The 19572-nt window shown below is 42.7% G+C and overlaps 6 annotated features.

Moving 5' to 3' along the window:
• Nucleotides 3111–3250: an enhancer, noted in NCBI's record as "active region_22603". NCBI's record gives its function as "activates an Ori minimal core promoter by ATAC-STARR-seq in GM12878 lymphoblastoid cells {active_cell/tissue: GM12878}" and the evidence as "EXISTENCE:reporter gene assay evidence [ECO:0000049][PMID:35858748]".
• Nucleotides 9374–9483: an enhancer, noted in NCBI's record as "active region_22602". NCBI's record gives its function as "activates an Ori minimal core promoter by ATAC-STARR-seq in GM12878 lymphoblastoid cells {active_cell/tissue: GM12878}" and the evidence as "EXISTENCE:reporter gene assay evidence [ECO:0000049][PMID:35858748]".
• Nucleotides 9964–10103: an enhancer, noted in NCBI's record as "active region_22601". NCBI's record gives its function as "activates an Ori minimal core promoter by ATAC-STARR-seq in GM12878 lymphoblastoid cells {active_cell/tissue: GM12878}" and the evidence as "EXISTENCE:reporter gene assay evidence [ECO:0000049][PMID:35858748]".
• Nucleotides 15510–15804: an enhancer, noted in NCBI's record as "tiled region #13369; HepG2 Activating non-DNase unmatched - State 12:CtcfO, and K562 Activating DNase matched - State 12:CtcfO". NCBI's record gives its function as "activates a minimal TATA promoter and a strong SV40 promoter by Sharpr-MPRA in HepG2 and K562 cells {active_cell/tissue: HepG2 | K562}" and the evidence as "EXISTENCE:reporter gene assay evidence [ECO:0000049][PMID:27701403]".
• Nucleotides 17636–18152: an enhancer, noted in NCBI's record as "H3K27ac-H3K4me1 hESC enhancer chr5:64331341-64331857 (GRCh37/hg19 assembly coordinates)". NCBI's record gives its function as "activates a minimal SCP1, AML or CMV promoter by ChIP-STARR-seq in naive and primed H9 embryonic stem cells {active_cell/tissue: H9 hESC(naive and primed)}" and the evidence as "EXISTENCE:reporter gene assay evidence [ECO:0000049][PMID:30033119]".
• Nucleotides 18026–18075: a silencer, noted in NCBI's record as "silent region_16054". NCBI's record gives its function as "represses an Ori minimal core promoter by ATAC-STARR-seq in GM12878 lymphoblastoid cells {active_cell/tissue: GM12878}" and the evidence as "EXISTENCE:reporter gene assay evidence [ECO:0000049][PMID:35858748]".

Here is a 19572-nt window from a genome sequence, read left to right as displayed (position 1 = left end):
TAACAGATGTTTGGTGAGGATACAGAGAAAAGGGAATTCTTATACACTGTTGGTGGGAATATAAACTAGTACAGCCACTGTAGAAAACAGTATAGAATTTTCTCAGAAAACCAAAATAGAATTACCATTAGACCCAGCCATCCCACTCTTGGAATCTACCCAAATGAAAAGAACTCACTATATCTAAGGGATACCTGCACTTGCACGTTTATTGCAGCACTATTCACAATAGCAAAACTATGGAATTAATGTAAGTGTCCATCAAAAAAAGAATGAGTAAAGAAAGTATGGTGTGTGTGTATATATATATATACATATATATATACACATATATATACACATATATATGCATATATACATATATATGCATATATATGTATGTATATATGTATGTGTGTATATATACATATACACACACAATGGAATATTGTTTAGCCATAATAAAGAATGAAATCATGTCATGTGCAGCAGGATAGATGGAACTGGGGGTTATTATGTTACGTGAAATAAGCCAGGCACAAAAAGACAGATAAGACATTTTTTCACTCCTATGTAGGAGCTAAAAAATTTGATCACATGGAGGTAGGGAGTGAAAAGATAGACAACAGAGACCAGGAAGGGTGATTTGGCAGGGGGGTGAAGAGAAGTGGGTTAAAGGGTACAAACATATAGTAAAGTAGAAAGAATAAATTCAGTGTTTGATAGCACAGCAGGATGACTATAGCTAACAAAAATATATTGCACTTGGGTGATGGACATCCTTGATACTCTGACTTGATCAGTATGCATTATATACATGTAACAAAATTTCACATGTATCCCATAAGTTTGTACCAAGAAAAACACTGAATTGCCACTGTATTAATAGATCAGCATAGAAAGAAAGAAATAGTGTTGGGACAATTGGATACCCACATAGAGAAACCTAAAGTTAGGTCTCTCTTTACACCATACACAAACACCATGTCTAAGTGGAGTTAAGACTTAAATATGAAAGGCAAAGATATAATACTTTTAGAAGATAAATTAGGACAATATATTTATGATATTCTAATGTAAAGAAGGAATTCTTTAAGCAAGATATAAAAACCTAAACCATAAAATAAAAATGGGAAAATCTAATTCTGTTAGATGTCTGCTATTGAAAGACATTATCTAGAGAATAAAAAGAGAAATCAAAAAGATGAAGACAATATTTCAACAGATATACAAACAACTAGTATCCAGAGTATATTAAAAATTCCTATAATTCTATAAGAAAAAACATGCATTCCAATAGAAAAATGATCAAAAGTAGGCATTTAATGAAAGAGGGTTCAACTTCATTAGTGCTCATCTTTTCTAGTAATCAGGGAAATACATAGTAAAATTATAATTTCATGCCTACTGAATAGGCAAAAATTTAATTATGAGAAATCCAAATGTTAGCAAGGATGTGGAGTAATGAGATCTCTAACTCATTGTTAGCGGGAATATAATCTGGTGTAAGCATTTTCAAAAACACTTTGGCATTACCTAGTAAAATTAATACATGCCTATCTGAAATCCATCCCTTATCCCTCCAAGTATGTAGCTTAAAGAAATCGCATATGTGTGTTAAAAATCATGTATAAGAATGCTCTAGCAGTATTATGCATAACAGCTATGATTGGTAACTCTTCAAATGTCCATGAAAAGTAGAATAGGTAAATTTGGTATATTTATATAATGGAATATTACACAGCAGAAAAAAGGTACAAATGACTACAACATGTATCAACATGGATGACTCTCAAAAACATGGATGAATGATGATCAACAGAAATAAACTACTAAAACTCAGGCAGTATGCTTTCATTTATATTAAGAACAAAAACTAGCCAAACTAAGTATTAAATTCTAAGAGATACAGGCATACTTAGTAAACTGTAAAGAAAAGCAGGGGTATGATTAATACAAAATTCAGATGCTGTTTCTCTTGCAGGGAGGAGAGGGCACTATAATTTGAGAGAGGTACACAGAGGTCTTTAAGGTACTGGTAATGTTCTGTTTCTTATCCTGGGTAATTGCTGCACATTTCATTATTTTTTTTAATACTCTCCAGATAACATTTATTCATTTTTATATATGATATATTCCCCCAATTAAATGAAAAGTCAGCTTTGTAATATTGTGGCCAAGACTGAATGACACAAGACATATAAAGTGCCAAGCATCTAAGAAGTGCTCAATATGAAGTGTCTAAATTTAAAAAATAGAATAAAATAATGTTTACCTCAGACCAGTACTAGAGTTGGGACAGGAGGGCACAGAGGGGTGGGCTGGAGACACCAAGACATATTCTCATGGGGCCCCACATGGGATACAGAGACTCAGACATTGGCTGGAGTTCATCCAACTCTTGAGGAATCTGCCAAGTGAAGCAAGCAGATGCATTCCAGAGGATGGCATGTTTACAACCTCTTGGCCTGACACCGCTGCCATAAAGGCAGCCAGCCCAAATCCCTTTCTTCTTAGGTACTAATGAGCCCGAGGACATTATATTCTTCATGGGAGAAAATACTGTTTTTTAAAAGAAGATGAACTGCTTCACTGTGTCCCCTCCCCATCCATCAGCCCTGCAGAAACTTAGCAGGAAGTGATGCGGCCACTAGGCATAGCTCATTCACCTCACCCCTGCCCACGGGTCTCAAACACACTGGCTGAAAGCCATGCCTCACTGGTGGCTCTCAAGGTCTCTTAACAAACCTTAACTGAGCACCTGATAAGTGCAGGACATTTTGCTAGACACATGACGTTATGGGTTGAATTGTGTCCCCCCAAAAGTTGTTGAGGTCCTAATCCCCAGTACCTGTGAATGTGACCGTATTTGGAAAGATCTTTGCAGATGACCACAGTAAGACGAGGTCGTTAGGGTGAGCCCTAATATAAATGGTGTACCTATAAAAATGGAAAGTTTGGACACAGAGACAAGCACATGGGGAGAATGCCACAGGAAGATTAGAGGTATGGTGCCACAAGTCAAAGAACTTGCAGAAGGTAAGAGACAGCCTGCTACAGATGGAATGTTTGTATCACCACAAAATTCATATGCTGAAATCCTAACTCCCAATGTGATGGTATTAGGAGGTGGGGCCTTTGGGAGGTATTAGATCATGAGGGCAAAGCCATCACAAATGGGATCTGAGCCCTTATAAAAGGGATCTCAGAGAGCTCCCTCACCCCTTTTGCCATGTAAGGACACAGGAAGAAAATGAGCATCTGTGAAACAGAAAGTGAGCCCTCACTGGCCACCAAATTTGTGAGCACCTTGGTCTTAGATTTCCCTGCCTCCAAAACTGTGAGAAACACATTTCTGCTGTTCATAAACCACTCAGCCTATAGCATTTTGTTATAGCAGCCTGAGTGGACTAAGACAGAAACCTGAGACAGATCCTCCCATCATACCTTCAGAGGGAGTGTGGCCCTGCTCACACCTTGATCTGAGACTTCCTGAACTGAGAGACCATAAATTTCTGTTGCTTAAGACACCCAGTTTGTGGCACTTTATTTTGGCAACCCTCAGAAACTGATACAAATGGGCAAAGACACAGAAAAAATACGACTTCCTGCCCCCAAGGAGCTTACTGTTTCCTAAGGCCTGGAAAGAAACAGCTGTATGTCAAACAGAATGAAATAAGTAAAATAACAAAAAGTAAAGGAAGCACTCTGGCTGTGCAGGCTAGAGAATTCATAATTCTCACTATAGAGTATAATATGACACTTTACAATTATTGATTTTTCTTTCACATATTCATTTATTCACAGGGGACTGTAGAATGTATTGGTTAAGTGGTTAAGAATACATTGGCTTTGAAGTCAAATAAATCCAAGTTCAAATTTTAGCTCAGTTGGTTTCTAGTCATGTGATACCAGGAATGTTATATATTTTCATTAGGGCTCATTTTCTCCATTTATAAGATGAGGATAATCATTCCTATCTTGCGGAATCATTATATGCATTAAGTAACATAATGTGTTGGAATATATAGTCATATATATACATATATAGCTTAATACAGTTCATAACACATAATAAGTATTCCATAAATGGAGCTGCTGCTGCCAGGAGCAGCAGCATCACTATTCATCCAATACAAGGTGATTGTGTCTGCCTTTGAGCCAGATGCCGTGCTCAGGATACAAAAACAAGGCAATGGGCCAGGTTCAATGGCTCACACCTGTAATCCCAGGAGTTTGGGAGGCCGAGGTGTGCAGATCACTTGAGGTCAGGAGTTGGAGACCAGCCTGGCCAACATGGCAAAACCCATCTCTACTAAGAATATAAAATATTAGCTGGACATGGTGGCACACGCCTGTAATCCCAGCTACTCAGGAGGCTGAGGCAGGAGAATCTCTTGAACCCGGGAGGTGGAGGTTGCAGTGAGCTGAGATCATGCCACTGCACTCCAGGCTGGGTGACAGAGTGAGACTCCATCTCAAAACAAAATAAAAAACAAACAAACCATCAAAAAAACAAGGCAATGGTTTTTGCCTCCACAGAGCTTACAGTCTAGTTCCTTCCTGTACTGAAGACAGATGTGGAAGCTAACCATTATTTTAAAAATAGAATACATACAGAGAGAAGTGTCAACCTAGTTGGAGGTTTCACATCTTGAGTGAAGGATTAGGGTAGATGCAGAGAAGAGGTGATGCTTGAGATGAGTTTTGAAGGCTGAGTAAGAGTTTGTTGAGGAAAGGGCCATTCCAAGGAGCAGGAAGGAGTATGAACAAGGGAACAGAAGCCAGAGAGTGTGGGCAACACTTGCAGAGGGCAAATAATTTGGTGCAGCAGAAGCACAGGATCGTGAGAGAGGAGAGGATCCTGGAAAGATGGGCCAGGGTCACATTGTAAGAAGCTTTATATGCCAATTTGAGTAAGTTTGACTTCATCTATTGGCAATGAAGAGCTTTTAAGGGACTTTTGTTTTACAATAATGTGTGGTAAGGAAGGGAGTGACATGGTAAGATTTGCTTTTGGACATACTGCTCTAGCATTGGTGTGGAGGGGAGAAAAGAGGCAGAGGAACCAGATAGGAGGTGGTCACCACATTAGTCAAGATGACAAACTATAAAGACTAGAACTGAGTCAGTGGTGGGGGCATGGGTGGACTTGGTAAATAGAAGATAGTGTCAGTTGACATCTGTGATGCTTTGTAACTGCTGGGTATTTCTTGAACACCCTTTCTATCATTAGGGAATTTCCCAATTACAGTCCGTCCTCCTCAAGGAAGAAGTGAGAAACTCATTTTCTCACCCCTGGCAGGAGGGTGCAAGTGTGTGACCTGAGCTCTGCCCATCAGACACCATCAGGACTTTGATTTGGAAGAGAAGGATGTGAAGAAGATATTGCATGGAATTCATTCTGAACAAGGATGGTAGTGAGACACTACCATCCTTGTGAGTGTGAGTTTTGAGGCACAATAGTCTTAGCAGTCACTTTTCACCCCAGAGTTGGCATGCAGTCTGTGGCAGCAGCAGGATTTCTGCTGGATAGCCTGGCAGGGTGACTTCGGCATTGTTCCTCTCTGGAAAGTATCCAAGTCAGGCCCTTGGACTTTCCTGAAGATTCTACATGCTACCTAATAAATTAATACATTTCTTTTTTTTTCTTAAGTTAGCTAGAATGACTTTTGTTTTCTGCAACTTAGAACATGATCTGATACAAGTAGAAATGATGGCATTTGGAGATAAACTGGGAGTAAGGAAGAGGGTGAAATTTAGAACATCCATATCTTTCTCAGGTACCTAGGTGCATGATAGCGCTGCTAAGTAAGCTTGGGAATGAGTGGGAAAGAGCAGCTTAGGAGAGAGAATGGGAGCAGCTTAGGGGAGAGCGTGGGAAAACTCAGTTTTCGAAATACTGAGTTTGAATTTCTTTGGGAACATATGAGTCAAAGGTGGTGAAAAATACGAACCTTGATATCTGCAAGGAGGGCTAAAATCAGATTTTGGACTTGTCAGAATATATTTACCTATTAATTAACATTAATTGAGTACTTATAATGGTCCAGACACTGAGGAAACAACAGTAAGACAAGATCCCTGCTTACATAAAACTTACGATCTAATGGGATAAATCAGAAATAAGTAAACAATTTAAAAGAATGATCTGGAGAGTGATAAGTGCTACCAAACAAACAAGCGGAGCCGAATAAAGAGATAAAGGGTGATGGTTAAAACAGCTGTTTTAGAAAGAGTGTCCATGGGAATCCCTCTCTGAGGAGGTGACATTTAAACAGAATTAGGGAGTGAGCCCTGCCAAGTTTTGAGGACATGGGAAAACATTCTAAGCAAAGGGAACAGCAAATGCAAAGAGAAAAATAAGCTGAGGGTGTTTAAGGAAGAGCAAGAAGGCTAATGTGGCCAGAGTGGAGTAAGAGGATAGTGGTAGAAGATAATCTTGGAGAAGTGGGCAGGGACCGGATGACACAGAGTCTATATAGTTGATTAGCATGAGAAATTTTCATTTCATTCTAAGTGTCGTAAGAAGCCATAAGGGGGCTCTGAGCAGGAACAGAAATGAGGTGACTTATTCTTTTAACTCTCACAGCTGCCTTGTGGTGTCTTTGGGGGTCGCAAGAGTGGAAGAAGGTAGATCAGTCAGGAAGCTAGTACCTTAATCTGGGCAGAAGATGATGGTGGCTTAGACTCAGAAGGTGATGAAAACAGTGGTGTGGTGAGAAATCATTGAATGCCAAATATCTTTAGAAGGTGCAACCAACAGGATTGCCAATGGAATTACTGTGAGTGTTAGAAAGAGAGAAATCTAGGATGACTCCCAAGTTTTGGCCTAAGAACTAGGTGACCAGTGGTGTGATTTAATGAGGTGGGTGAGGGCAGGACTGGGGCTTGGTAGTGGAAATCAAATATTTTGGCTTGAATATTAATTGAAAATGACTATGAGACACCAAAATTGAAAAGCTAGGACTAGAGTTATCAATTTGGAAATCATTAATTCAGAAACAGTATTCAGACACAGAACCAGGTGAGGTCACTGGAGGACAGGATGGGAACACCTGTCCACAGGACTGGATGAAGTCTCCAGACAGTAAATGTGGATAGAGAAGAAGACTTAGGACTGAGACTTTTGGTCATGCCCATGGGTAGCATTTGAATAGATGAGAGGGAACTAATTTCTATTAATGAATAAAAGAATACCAAGTCTCCTGGTATTCTTTTACTCATTGATAAAAACTAGCTCTTTCTGTGGAGACTGTGGTGTTTCACGAGTCAAAAAAAAAAAGTAGTTTCAAAACAGAAGGAGTAACCAATCATTTCTTTTTTTTTTTTGAGGCGGAATCTCACTCTGTCACCCAGGCTGGAGTGCAGTGGTGCGATCTCAGCTCACTGCAACCTCTACCCTCCGAGTTCAAGCGATTCTCCTGCCTCAGCCTCCCAAGTAGCTGGATTACAGGTGCCTGCCACTGCACCAGGTTAATTTTTTGTATTTTTAGTAGAGATGGGGTTTTACCATCTTGGCCAGGCTGATCTTGAACTCCTGACCTCGTGATCCACCTGCCTCGGCCTGCCAAAGTGCTAGGAGTACAGGCATGAGCCACCGCGCCCAGCCAGGAGTAACCAATCATTTCTTATCTTGCTAAGAGATTGAGTAAAGAAAGATTCTAAGAACTGACCACTGGAACGTGGAGGTTGCTGCTGGGACCTTGACAAGTGCAGTTTAGATGGCGTGGTAGGGATGACAGACTAATTAGAGTGGTTTCAAGAATGAGTAGAGCCGGGTGTGGTGGCTCGCTCCTGTAATCCCAGCACTTTGGGAGGCCAAGGCGGGTGGATCACGAGGTCAGGAGTTCAAGACCAGCCTGGCCAACATGGTGAAACCCCATCTCTACTCAAAATACAAAAATTAGCCAGGTGTGGTCGTGGGCACCTGTAATCCCAGCTACTCGGGAGGCTGAACCAAGACAGTGGCTTGAACCCGGGAAGTGGAGGTTGCAGTGAGCTGAGATCATGCCACTGCACTCCAGCCTGGGCAACGGAGCGAGACTCCATCTCAAAAAAAAAAGTGAGTAGAAAGTATAAGAGTGGGGTTGGTGAGAACAGAGCTTTAACAAGAGGCAGTGCAATGGGTGGAGACAAATGGTGAAGGCAGTATCTGAAATAGGGAGCACAGTTGAGATTGCCCAGAGAAAATGTGTAGATTGCAATGAGAAGAGAGTTGGAGATAGAACCTTAGGAAACATCAAGAAATGGAGACAATTTCCTCAGAAGATAGATTGAGATAGGAGAAGCAGGAAAGTACCACGGCCCAGAAACCAAGAGAGGAGAGGTTGTAAGGAGGAGGTGGTGAGCAAAGTCATACGTTGCAGGTAGCCCAGATAAAAAGGACTTCTGGAGTTAGCTGTTAAGAAGTTCTTGGTGATCTTAACAGAGGTAATTTCAATGGTGGCAAAGGTAGAGGCCAGGGTGTGTTCTATGGGGAAGGAACAGAGGTGAGGAAAGGAAAGAATAAACTCAGGCCACTATTTGAGAAGGAAGAAGAGAAAACTGCTATAAGGAGCCACAGTTGAGGTAAATTTTATTTTTCAGGAAGAGGTATTTCAGCATAAACATATGTGAGAGGAAGGAGCAGATGGAAGTGCAGGAGTAAAGGGTGATGGTGGATGGAAGAGGGAGGGTTTAGAGCACAGGCTGGAGGACTCACCCTGAAGGAGGGACAACCCTTTCAAGGTAAGAGGAAGGAGGCAAAGGTGGAAAGAGATGCACATAATGGTCCAAGAGGCAGGAAGTGCTTACTTGATGGCCTCTATGTTCTCCCTGAAGTAGGAGGCAAGATTCAGTGATGGTGGTGGGTGCTGGGGTGGGGGATGGCAGTGGGGATGGGGTGGGGGTAATAAGAAGGATGTGGAAAAGAGAGCTGCAAGGGTGCTACCTCAGTGTGTTCACAAATACCATTATCTACCTAACGTTTTGGTGTTTGTCTCTCTGTCCCAGCAAACCTCCCAATTCCGTCTCCCTCCCTTTTCCTTCCCCCATAAATCCCTTCTCAAATCCCACCTGCAGCTGTGGGGAAGCTTCCTGTCATGGGTGAGTTATGGAAGAAACCTTTATCTTTCCTCTCTGGCACAAGTTTTTCCCCAGGAGGCCTGTACTGAGCCCATCACAAGCAAAACTTAGAAAATAGAAAAAGCAGAAAACCAAGGCAAGACATTTTAAAGACAAGTACATTGCAATGAATTATAAATTTAAAAATTATAAGTTGAATGGTTGCTGAGCATTGTGGCACACACCTGTAATCCCAGCTATTCAGGAGGCTGAGGCACGAGAATCGCTTGAACCCGGGAGGTGAAGGTTGCAGTGAGCCGAGATTGTGCCACTGCACTCCAGCCTGGGCAACAGGGCGAGACTCTGTCTCAAAAATGAAATAAAATAAAAATGATAAGTTGAATGAGTACTTAATAGATATGTGCTACCTATTTTAGTATTGAAACTTCTGTGAGGCAGCAGTTGTTTTCGTTTTGTGTCTCCTTAGAAGGTAGTTTAGAGAAGTGACCTTGGAACTCCACTTCTTGGGCCCAGATTAGAGATAAGTAATCTTGGGCTAGCTACTAAATCTCTCAGTGCCTTAGTGTCCTCATCTGTGAAATGGGAATTGTAACAGCACTGCCCTCTTAGGACTATTGTGGAGATTAAATGACTGAATGTGTGTAAAGCCCTTAGAATGGTGCTTGTGTTGAAAGCAGTCAATAACTGATAGCTGTTAGAGTTACAAGTTCTGTAAGAGTGCAGGCACATTTTGGACCCCACAAAGGAAATGCTCAAGAGACTAAAATACTCTTTTAAAATGTTGTAGGGAGAGTAGAATATCGTATTGTGGTGAAAGTGGGGTGCTGGATCTAGCACCTAATCTTGGATTCTTTTTTTATTCTATGAAAAAGTCCCTCTGCTGCATGGGAGTGCAACGTGTTGACCTAAGGACAAAGTGTGAGGCTGGTGAACAGGGAACTTCTCAGTTCCCATTCAGTGCCATCTCTTTTCTTGAGAGGTTTATTCTTGTTGCAGATGCCCCGTGTTCTGCTATGCTTCCTGCTATCTGAGTTCCCTCTGCCCCTCCACTCCTATTTGGAGAAGTCCTTATGCCACATAACACACACCTCCCCGTCAACTTGAAAAATAACCTATCCTGATTCCCAATTCTTCAGGTGAGAGTCTCCATCAGCTAGCTGACTAGGAGGACTAATCTAGCATACTTCTTTCCAGGCAACATTTGCTTTTAACAGAGGCCACTATGAAGAGGTAGCAGGGCTCAGTGGTTATGGGCACACTAAGCAAGAGGGGACTGCCGCCCACACTGTAGAGAGCAGTGGGATTTGGACAGTTACAGGTCCCCATGGCCCATCCTGCTTGGAGTCCTTTGGAGGGTTCTTCTAGAAGGGATTATGTCTATCTAGACTCTAAACCCTAGAAAATAGGAAATGACATTTGTCCACCTCACAGGAGTGCATCATGCTTGTTGATAGCGTTGGACTCTAATTTCTCTGGAGAGATGGAATCAACTCTTTAAGTCTGGGAATAAGAATAGCAAAACATCTTTGAAGCTATTTTTGAATGTTGTGCTGTTATTCTGCGGTAGGCCTCATATCCCTAGTGGTCAATGTGTGTGATTTGCAAAAAAAAAAACATATCATAGAGCCTAGCCATCATAGAGCCTCTCAGCACTTCACAGTGTCATCTCCAGGTGCTTCCTTCCACTCTCTCTCTGTCCTTCATTTACTGAGACTGTGAGGAGGGTGGTCCTTTTCTAAGTGTAACTGGGAGGAGGGGTTCTCACAAGGGGAAATCTGCACACTCTTCCTGGGTCTTTGTATAAGTAAGAGAGCAGCCAATAAAAAGTTCACGTCCTCTGCCTAAAGAGACGTGACAGCCAAATACAACACACCATTCCTGCCTGGATCCTGAATGGGGAGGAAAGAAAAGAATTGTAGGAGATATTTTGAGACAATTGAAGAAAGTTGAATATGGATTGTATATTACATCAGTGCTACCTGGAGTGTGCGTTGTGGCCCAGCAGTGGTGGCAGTGTCACCTGGGAGCTTGTTGGAACTGAAGAATTTCAGTCCCATCCAAGTGATTTATCCGCACATTGAAGATTGAGAAATATTATATCAGACAATATTACTGTGTCGATGTTACATTTCTGGTATGTGAGAATGGTATGGCAGGAGAATGTCCTTGTGTGATGAATGGGTGTGTGTGTGTGTGTATACACATACGCCTTCCAAGTGGGAGAATTCAGTCTGCAATCCACACCACCCTGAAGGTGAGGCCTTCAAGGGAACTGGATTCAAGACTCTTGGGTAGCACCATGGATTGTCCTGTGGAAACCATTAGAATCTTCTAGGCTGGATATACCAGGATGGAGATGTGTACTACGTTAGGAAGAAGAAAAATGCTGGAGGTAGACAAACCCCCAAGGGATGAGGCCCTTGAGTCCTGAAGGTATCTAGGGATTCATTCCCACTATGGGACAGCAAGTCAACAGGTTAGGAGTTCGGGTGTGTTCCCTAAACTCGGTGGGGATTTTTTTCCCCCTTGTTGGATGACACAGTTTAAAATTCCTTTCTTCATATGCTATAATTCCCTTTGGTTCTCTCCAGCCCTTTATCAAGGTCAGACACACCCCTACAACTTTGTGTGTTGTTGACAAGAGAAAAGTGAGACCTGCCCTGTGTTCACAGCCCTCTGTGGAGCCCTTTGCAGGGGTAGCAGCATCACTCCAAGGGGTGGAGGTCACTGGGCTGCAGGCTGCATTTGCCAGGAGTTGAGTTATTGCCAGCTCCTGCCCCTTTAAGTGTCTCTGTCTCCTGGGCAGATATGAGCACTGTATTCAGAATTACTAATCTTTTCTGGGACCTTTTCTCTAAATTCCAAATCACATAAGGGGAAGTGGTGAGGATGAACCTTCCCCAAACCCCACATTTCTGTAGCTCTAGAGGATATTGACTCATGGTGGAGCATTTATTTCAAATAGAAAACAGCACAAACCAAAAGACTTGAGGAAGTACCTCCTCCCACTCTTGTTTCCAAATTCCATTCAGGTTTGGAACTTTTTGAACAATTTTTATTTTGAAACATGAAAAGGTGGAAGAATCCAGCCTCTTTCTGCTAAGAGTAGACATAAAGATAAGCATCTCTCCTCAAAGGTACAGGATTATGTTACCCTTCTGGAATCCTGGTAGCCAATTCAAGTTGTTTTTGAAGCACAATGCTACCCATGAGGCCCAAACCAAAAGAACCAGACATTCCAGATTGACTCAAATAATTCCATTTTTTAAATGTAATGTTCTGGCACCTCTGTGATGACCATATTTGTTCCAGTTTTCATCACACCCTGTGATATTGAATGGCAAGACCAAGAACAAAATGCTTCTTTGAATAACTCCGCTGCCTTCCTACCTTGAGGCTGTCAGGTATGGGATACAGTTTGTTGGGAATTAAAGGAAAACAAAATTTCCACTCAAGAATTGAATTCTTTCAACAAATATAAAGAGAGGAAAAATTGTTTTGTGGTTTATTGTGGGGAAGAGAACTCTTAGAAAAAACAATAGGAGGAAATTCTCAATAGAAACTATGGATCTTTGATGAACTTTTCATTTCTGCATGATTAGAGAATTATTAACAGCCAAAACAAAACCTATTTTCTTCTTACTGTGTCTTATCCAAGTATTTAGTAGGGAGAAAAATGACATTAGCGACTATTGAGCCATTTGATTCCCAAACACATAGTAACTTGGCTTTGAAGGCAAGTCACAATGCTTCTAGGAAACCCCAAGATGGGAAGATTAAACTCTTTTCATTCTCTTTGAACTATTTGGAAACATTCACAGCTTGGAGCTGGGATGTCCATTCTATTGTCCACGGAGTTAGCTGTGTTGTCTCTGACTCCACAAAACACGAGTTTCTAACTGAACTGGGAGAGAGTTCTCCTGTACTGTGTCTAGTCTGTGTAGGCCAGACTTTATCAGTTTTTGGTACTCTGTGATAATTACCCTTGCCAAACACACTTGTCAGAATTATTCCCTAAAACACACTTGATTAATGGGCTTATCAATACCATTATATCTTGAATAATGCATATTAGTCCCAGATGACTATCTTTTCAGTTAAAAAATGAATTTAAACAAAGTGTAAATGTAAACATATTTCCAACTCAGAGTTCCATTTCAACCACTGAAGCACATCCTAGCACTAAGTCCTTTATTATTTTTGACGTTTATGACTTTGTGTTTGTTGGAAACAAGTTTTCAGGTGGCTATATCTGTTTTTTTATATTTATGACTCTTTTGTACTTATTGGAAATAAACAAGTTCTCAGTCTTCTATCTGTAAAATAAAACAAGAACTGCTTCACAAGAATCTTAGGATAATTAAATAAGATGATAGACATAAAGTAGTGGTCATATAGTAAGTGTTCTATAAATATTATGACTTAATTCCTTTAGCTCTATGGTAGACATACAGAGATTTGGGGAGATGATTTAAGTATATTAATTTTTATCTTTTTTTTTTGAGATAGAAGTTTTCTCTTGTTGCCCAGGCTGGAGTGCAGTGGTGTGATCTCGACTCACTGCAACCTCTGCCTCCCAGATTCAAGCGATTCTCCTGCCTAAGTCTCCCTAGTAGCTGGGATTACAGGCATGCTCCACCACACCTGACTAATTTTTTTGTATTTTTAGTAGAGACGGGGTTTCACCATGTTGGCCAGGCTGGTCTCGAACTCCTGACCTCAGGTGATCCACCTGCCTCAGCCTCCCAAAGTGCTGGGATTACAGGCGTGAGCCACCGCACCCGGCCTCTATTTTGTAATTAATATATTTACTTTTCATTGTAAAACAAGGGATTTCTATAGCAATTCAGAGCTTAATTTTTGTCTGTTAGCTAACTTACAAAATTTAAGCCTTTCGCGATTTGCTTTCAAGGCCCTCTGCCCTTTGGGTCCTATTGTACACAACCCTTTTCATGCTCCCAATTCATCAGTCCCTGTCCTGTCCTTTCACACATTCCACAGTTTCTTGTATCATGTTTCCCCTATCTAAAAAACTTCTTTTCCATTTCCCTTTATTATAATCTCATTCTTCCTTTAAGGTCCAGTTCAATCATTCTTTTCTTCTACAAAGACACTTCTGATTTCCTTGGTCCAAAAATAATGTCTCCCTCATAGTCATTCTTATGAAATTGAGTATTTTTAAACAATTTCAAATTTAGAAGAGGGCAACATTTACAGAAAACTTGCAAAGATTGCACAGAGATTTCCCACGTACTCCTCAACAAGTTTCCCCCAATGTTCACATCTTATATTACTATGGTCTATTTGTCCCAACTAAGAATCTAATATTGGTATACACACTGAACGCTTGTAACTTACGTTGTAGCTGACTATTAACTGTAAAATCCTTGAAATCAGGCTGTGTGGCCCTTAGTTTACTCATTCTGTAATATGTACAAAGTCTTTGCTTACCATTGAGCACCAAGTGGGAACTAAAACAATGTTTGTTGAATGAAAGAACAATCACTCCCATTGCTTTAACTGTCTACCTCAACATAATCTCTGTTTAAGTGTTTTGTGTAAGTGGAACATAAATACAGAAAAATGTGACTATAAATGTAAAGCTCAGTGATTTTTCACAATCTGAACATACTCATGTAATTATCACCTGGATTTCAAATAGAACATTTCCTGCATCACAGAAGCCCCTCCATGTGCTCCTTCCAGTAACAACCACCCTCCATCTTGACTTCTTATGTTGCCTTTAGTTTTATTTCAGTAATGGGACACAGTGTCATGGTTCATGCTTATAATGTGACCCAGTTTTATACTGTTATCATGTCTGTGCAAAGTGGCTTGAATCTATTAAAAAATTCATGGCTTGATTAAAGGAAGTATAACGCAGTAGATTTTCCAATAGCCAAACAATGTCCATTGTCTTTGTAGTTTATATAGTTTCTGCATTAAAGCCTAGCTTACGGTTGGGTGTACCCACTTTGGACCGAAAGACAATTCCATTTCTGACAACATCATTGAGCCCAGTGTAGGAAGTAGGACATAAACCATTTTCATTTCTGTTCCCTTAGAAACACATGGAACAAAATAAAGTTTGCCAAATGGAAATATACAAAACCACTGGGGAAATAAATGTTATTTTTAACCTTCTAAGAGACTATCACAAATAACTGGGAGGAGAGTGGAAAGAATTCAAAAAGCAGATGACCTTTTAACAGGCAGAACATAGCAGGGTCAGCAAGTGTCTAGAGAATGTTGTGACTTGGAGAAGGGATGCTGGGAGCCCAAGCCTGGAGGAACTGATCTCACCGGTTATGATGAGAATGGAGCTAGCTTCTTCCCAATCCTATGTGAACTGGATGGCTAGAAGGGAACCTTCCTCCAGTAATGGAAACAGTGAGAATCCTTGGGTACTAAACAAAGGAGTAGATTTGGAGATCTAGGAGCTAGTGGGTTTGTGGCTGGCAGCCAGGTCTGGAGTGTTGCTTTCAGGATGCCGGGTTTTCTCTACTCTTTGAGCAAATCTCACCCTATGGAGACACAGTCACCTGCATTCTAGGTGGAGACCACAGAGGTGAGGAAGTGGGTTAGAGGGAGGATGACAGCCATACCGTCAGTAGAGGGAGCTGTTCTGGGAAGGAGACAGGGAGACAGGAACCTCTTCCGCCTTAAGAGGGAAAAGAAAGCCACCACAGCCATTCTCACCCTTTTGAAGTTAAATCACTGCTTCACTGCCAGTTCTCAGGTGGCTCAAGAATGGACGGCTACTTTGCAAAGCACGTGCCAATTACACAAAATTGCCTACTTTGTCATGCGAATTTAAACCAAGCAGAGAATGCCTCTTGATCAATCTGGCTTTTCTTACAGATACTCAGCATGGAGAAAACTGGCTTGGTTGGAGACAGAGTTTGTGTCACACTTTTTCTCATAAAGGGAAAGTTGCTCCAGACCAAGCAACAAGGGAGATGTCAAAAGCTGGCTGTTCCAGCTTCTCCCTTGAGTTACAGATCGTCACACAACTCTGAGCACAGGAAGGACCTACAGTGTTCTTAGAAGCAGTAGAGTTGCATGCCCTTTACTAACCAGGCTAACCAATGCAAGAGTGTGTAAGACCTTCTAGGCAAAAGGCCCTGGGAGGCTGAGTTTATTCTCAAACCACCAGCCTTTCTCCCACCATCACGTTCAGTTACCAAAACATACTTACTTTTTTTTTCCTGTAACCTCATTTTAGAAGTGAACAGCTTTCAGTTAAAGTGATTTGCAGGGGATAAATAGAAGTAGGCTCATGCCAGACCTCACAGAGAAGTTCTAGATGGGCCCAGCATGGTGGCTCATGCCTGTAATCCCGGCACTTTTGGAGGTTGAGGCGGGCAGCTTGCCTGGGGTCAGCAGGAGTTCAAGACCAGCCTGGGCAACATGGTGAAACCCCATCTCTACAAGAAGCATAAAAAAATTAGCCGGGCGTGGTGGTGTGTGCCTGTAGTCCAAGGTACTTGGGGGCTGAGGCGGGAGGATTTCTTGAGCATAGGAGGTCAAGGCTACAGTGAGCCCAGATCGCCACTGCATTCCAGCCTGGGTGACAGAGCAAGACCCCATCTTAAAAAAGAGAGAGGGAGAAGATCTGGATGGTTCATGTCCTCTGCTTATCCTGGATATCTAGAATCTTACGGAAACCTTATATTACCCTTTCATGAAGTGGGAAAAGGACTTTAGAGAAGGGGGACAGATTAGAAGGCAGAAAATGCACTAAATAGTGTGACTCTCTCTTCATTTAGGCCCAGTTCTTTCTCCTGTACTTCTCTAGTTTTTTAGTAAAAGAAACAAGGAGACTGGAGCTTGGACTAACAGAATTAGCATGTTCAACATCAGTGTTCCAAAAATCATCAGCCATTTATCTTCATGGGGAGTTTTTCCTTTAGGCGCCAGCTGACTTTCTTTTCTTTGGCCCCTCTTTCTCATTCTGCCTTCTGCCACCAGCCTCCATCTCCACTGCAAAACTCTCCACGTCCCATTCAGGTCAGGGCCTTCCTTCACAGGCACAAAAGCTCATCCTGCAAATAATCAGCTTCTGCCCAGGTTCTCTATCATTAGCAATATAGAAAAGAGCAGAAGCTTTCAAGTTTTGCTCACAATTTGACATATATTTGATCAAATTTTTAGTTTGGGCTTGTATGCTCCACCAACCATCAAACCCTGGCAAATGTAAGTAAGGGTGAAGGGATGGTCTACCTCATACACTAGTAAAAACTGAGAACATCTTAGATGCTCATAAACGGAAATAGTGTTTAAGTACTTGATGATACCTCTACTAAAGGAGTAGATCTTTATGATCTTTAAAGCAATGTTTGAAAAAAGCACAAAAAAGTTTCTGCCACAATATAAGTGAAAAAGGTAGGCTACAAAATGATATAACATGACTAAATGACGTTAAAAACCTGAAGATCTGCTGCAAAGAAAGGGGGTTGTGGGGGGAGACAGGAAGGAAATGCATCAACGTTAACAGAGGTTGAGTCTAGAGGGTGGGGCTTTGGGTGATTACTTTTTTCTTCGTAATTTTCCACCCTTTAAAAGAGCATGTCCTACTTTTATAATTACGGAAAAAAGAAAGAAAACCTTGAGCTTTTGCATTTAACCAGTCCGCAAAAGCAATAAACAAGACGCGCTGTGGCCAGGGAACCCAGCGTTCGAGGGGCCGGCAGCGCGATCTGGCTGTCGCCTGTGGGCGGGGCGCAGTCCCCGGGACAGCCTCCCGGACCCGGGCCCCCAGGCTGCCCGCAACCCTCAAAAAGGAGCCTGTTTTATCTCTGAGCAGAGATGACGTCACCCTAAGGAAACCAGAAAGTGCTGATTAATCATGAAGTCAGAACTAATCCCTGAAAAGAAGTCGGGTAGGGGCGAGGCGCGAGAGTGCCCCAGACGAGATTGCAACCTCAGACGCCGCGACCGGGCTGGGGTCTCGCCCGTCACGCCCAGCCGGGACGCCGGTGCGCCCCGCCCCCACCTCGCGTCTCCCCGCTTCCCGCTTCCAGCTTCCCCCGCGTACTCCCAGCCTCCCGCCTCCCGCCGCCACTAGGTTTCTCCGGCCAGCGGCCTGGGTGGCGCATGCGCAGCGGCGGGATGGCCGGGCCCGCTCCAGACCCTGGCAGTCCACAAGCTCCCAGTCGCCTGCCGTGGTCCCTCCCCGACAGGTTCTTATTGTACCGCGCAGTGGTCGCGCACCGACTAGCTGTGCTTTTAAAGATGATTATCACTATGGCGGTGAGACAGTAGTTTGGCCGAGACCTGTTCCAGTACCCGAGCCAAAAAGGGTGAAGTAGATCCAGGACCGTCACTGGAAGCCACTTCGAGAGAGAGGCCATGCTTCTTAAAGTATGGGTTTCACAGCCGCCAGTTTTTTGGAGGTCTATAGTCACATGTTATTCACAATCTTATTTTTATTACAGTCGGTTAAAAAGGATTTCATCCATTGCTAGAACACTGCAATCCTCAGCTTCGGGGGTAACCAGAAGGCTCTCTGCGCCCGCTGCTGGGAGGTGGCGGGGCCCCGGGTCCAGAGCCAGGCTGGAGGCGGGCGCGCCCCACCGCCCCTGTGATGAGAGACAGCAGGAAAACTGGGCGTCCGGCAGCCCTGGGGCAGAACAGGTTGCTTGTCCCTGGGGAGCCCTCTAAGGGATAAAGGACCTTGGATGCGATCAGTCTTTCTTTGCGGAAAGCCCTCACACCTGTCCTGAGAGATAATTTGCATAAAAGCTGTTTGTGCCCTGGAGGAGAAAAGAAAGTGATTAAAAGAAGGTGGGGAGAGGGGTGGTCTGAGATGTCAGTAAGGATATTGGGCTGTGAAATACGTTGGTCTTATAAGTGGCTCTGCAATATCTTCTAAGAAGAATCCTCTGTGAGGCCAGCCTCTTGTTTTTAGGCTGGTCAAGCAGAAAAGAAGAATGGAAGCCCATTCACTGAGAAGCCACTGGGCCCCCAGGGACACCTCCATCTTGCCTTCACAGCATTTGCTCTTGCAACAGGTTCTTAGATTAATTTGGCCTCGTGGTCAGTCTTGAAGCAGCTCCCACATGTGCCCTGGCAGCTCAGCGCCCAGCTGTCCCGTCCTGTGTTTGTCTAGTTGATTAGGCAAGTGTTAACCAGTGAACCACAGAGGCCCATGGTCCAGTGGGCAGGGTGTAAGAAAGTACCTGGAACACAGAGATGGACGGAGATAGAGCTGGAGTTTGGGCCAGGTGGGCAGCACCGGCACCTCTCAACAATACCTACAAACATATTGCTCTGCTCATTTGTTTTAATCACATCAAGGCTTGTCACAATCTTTCTGTTTTCTTTTCCCTTAGAAAACAAACGTCTCACTAGGGTTGCTTCATGAAGTTCACCAGTACAGTAAGTGCTACAGCACGTTAGATTGCCTTGGCAGGGAGAAGGGCCTTTTATCTGCTTTGGATCACTGTTGGAGTCTCAGGCCTTTAAATCTTTTGAACTCACATCCATTGTTCCACACTAGCTGCTACTGATTCTACAACCCCTGTT

Source organism: Homo sapiens, chromosome 5 (assembly GCF_000001405.40).
Source record: "Homo sapiens chromosome 5, GRCh38.p14 Primary Assembly".
In the NCBI taxonomy this organism is placed as follows: Eukaryota; Metazoa; Chordata; class Mammalia; order Primates; family Hominidae; genus Homo; species Homo sapiens.
The sequence above is the reverse complement of the archived record's forward strand: the minus strand, read 5'-3'. Positions and strand labels throughout refer to the sequence as shown.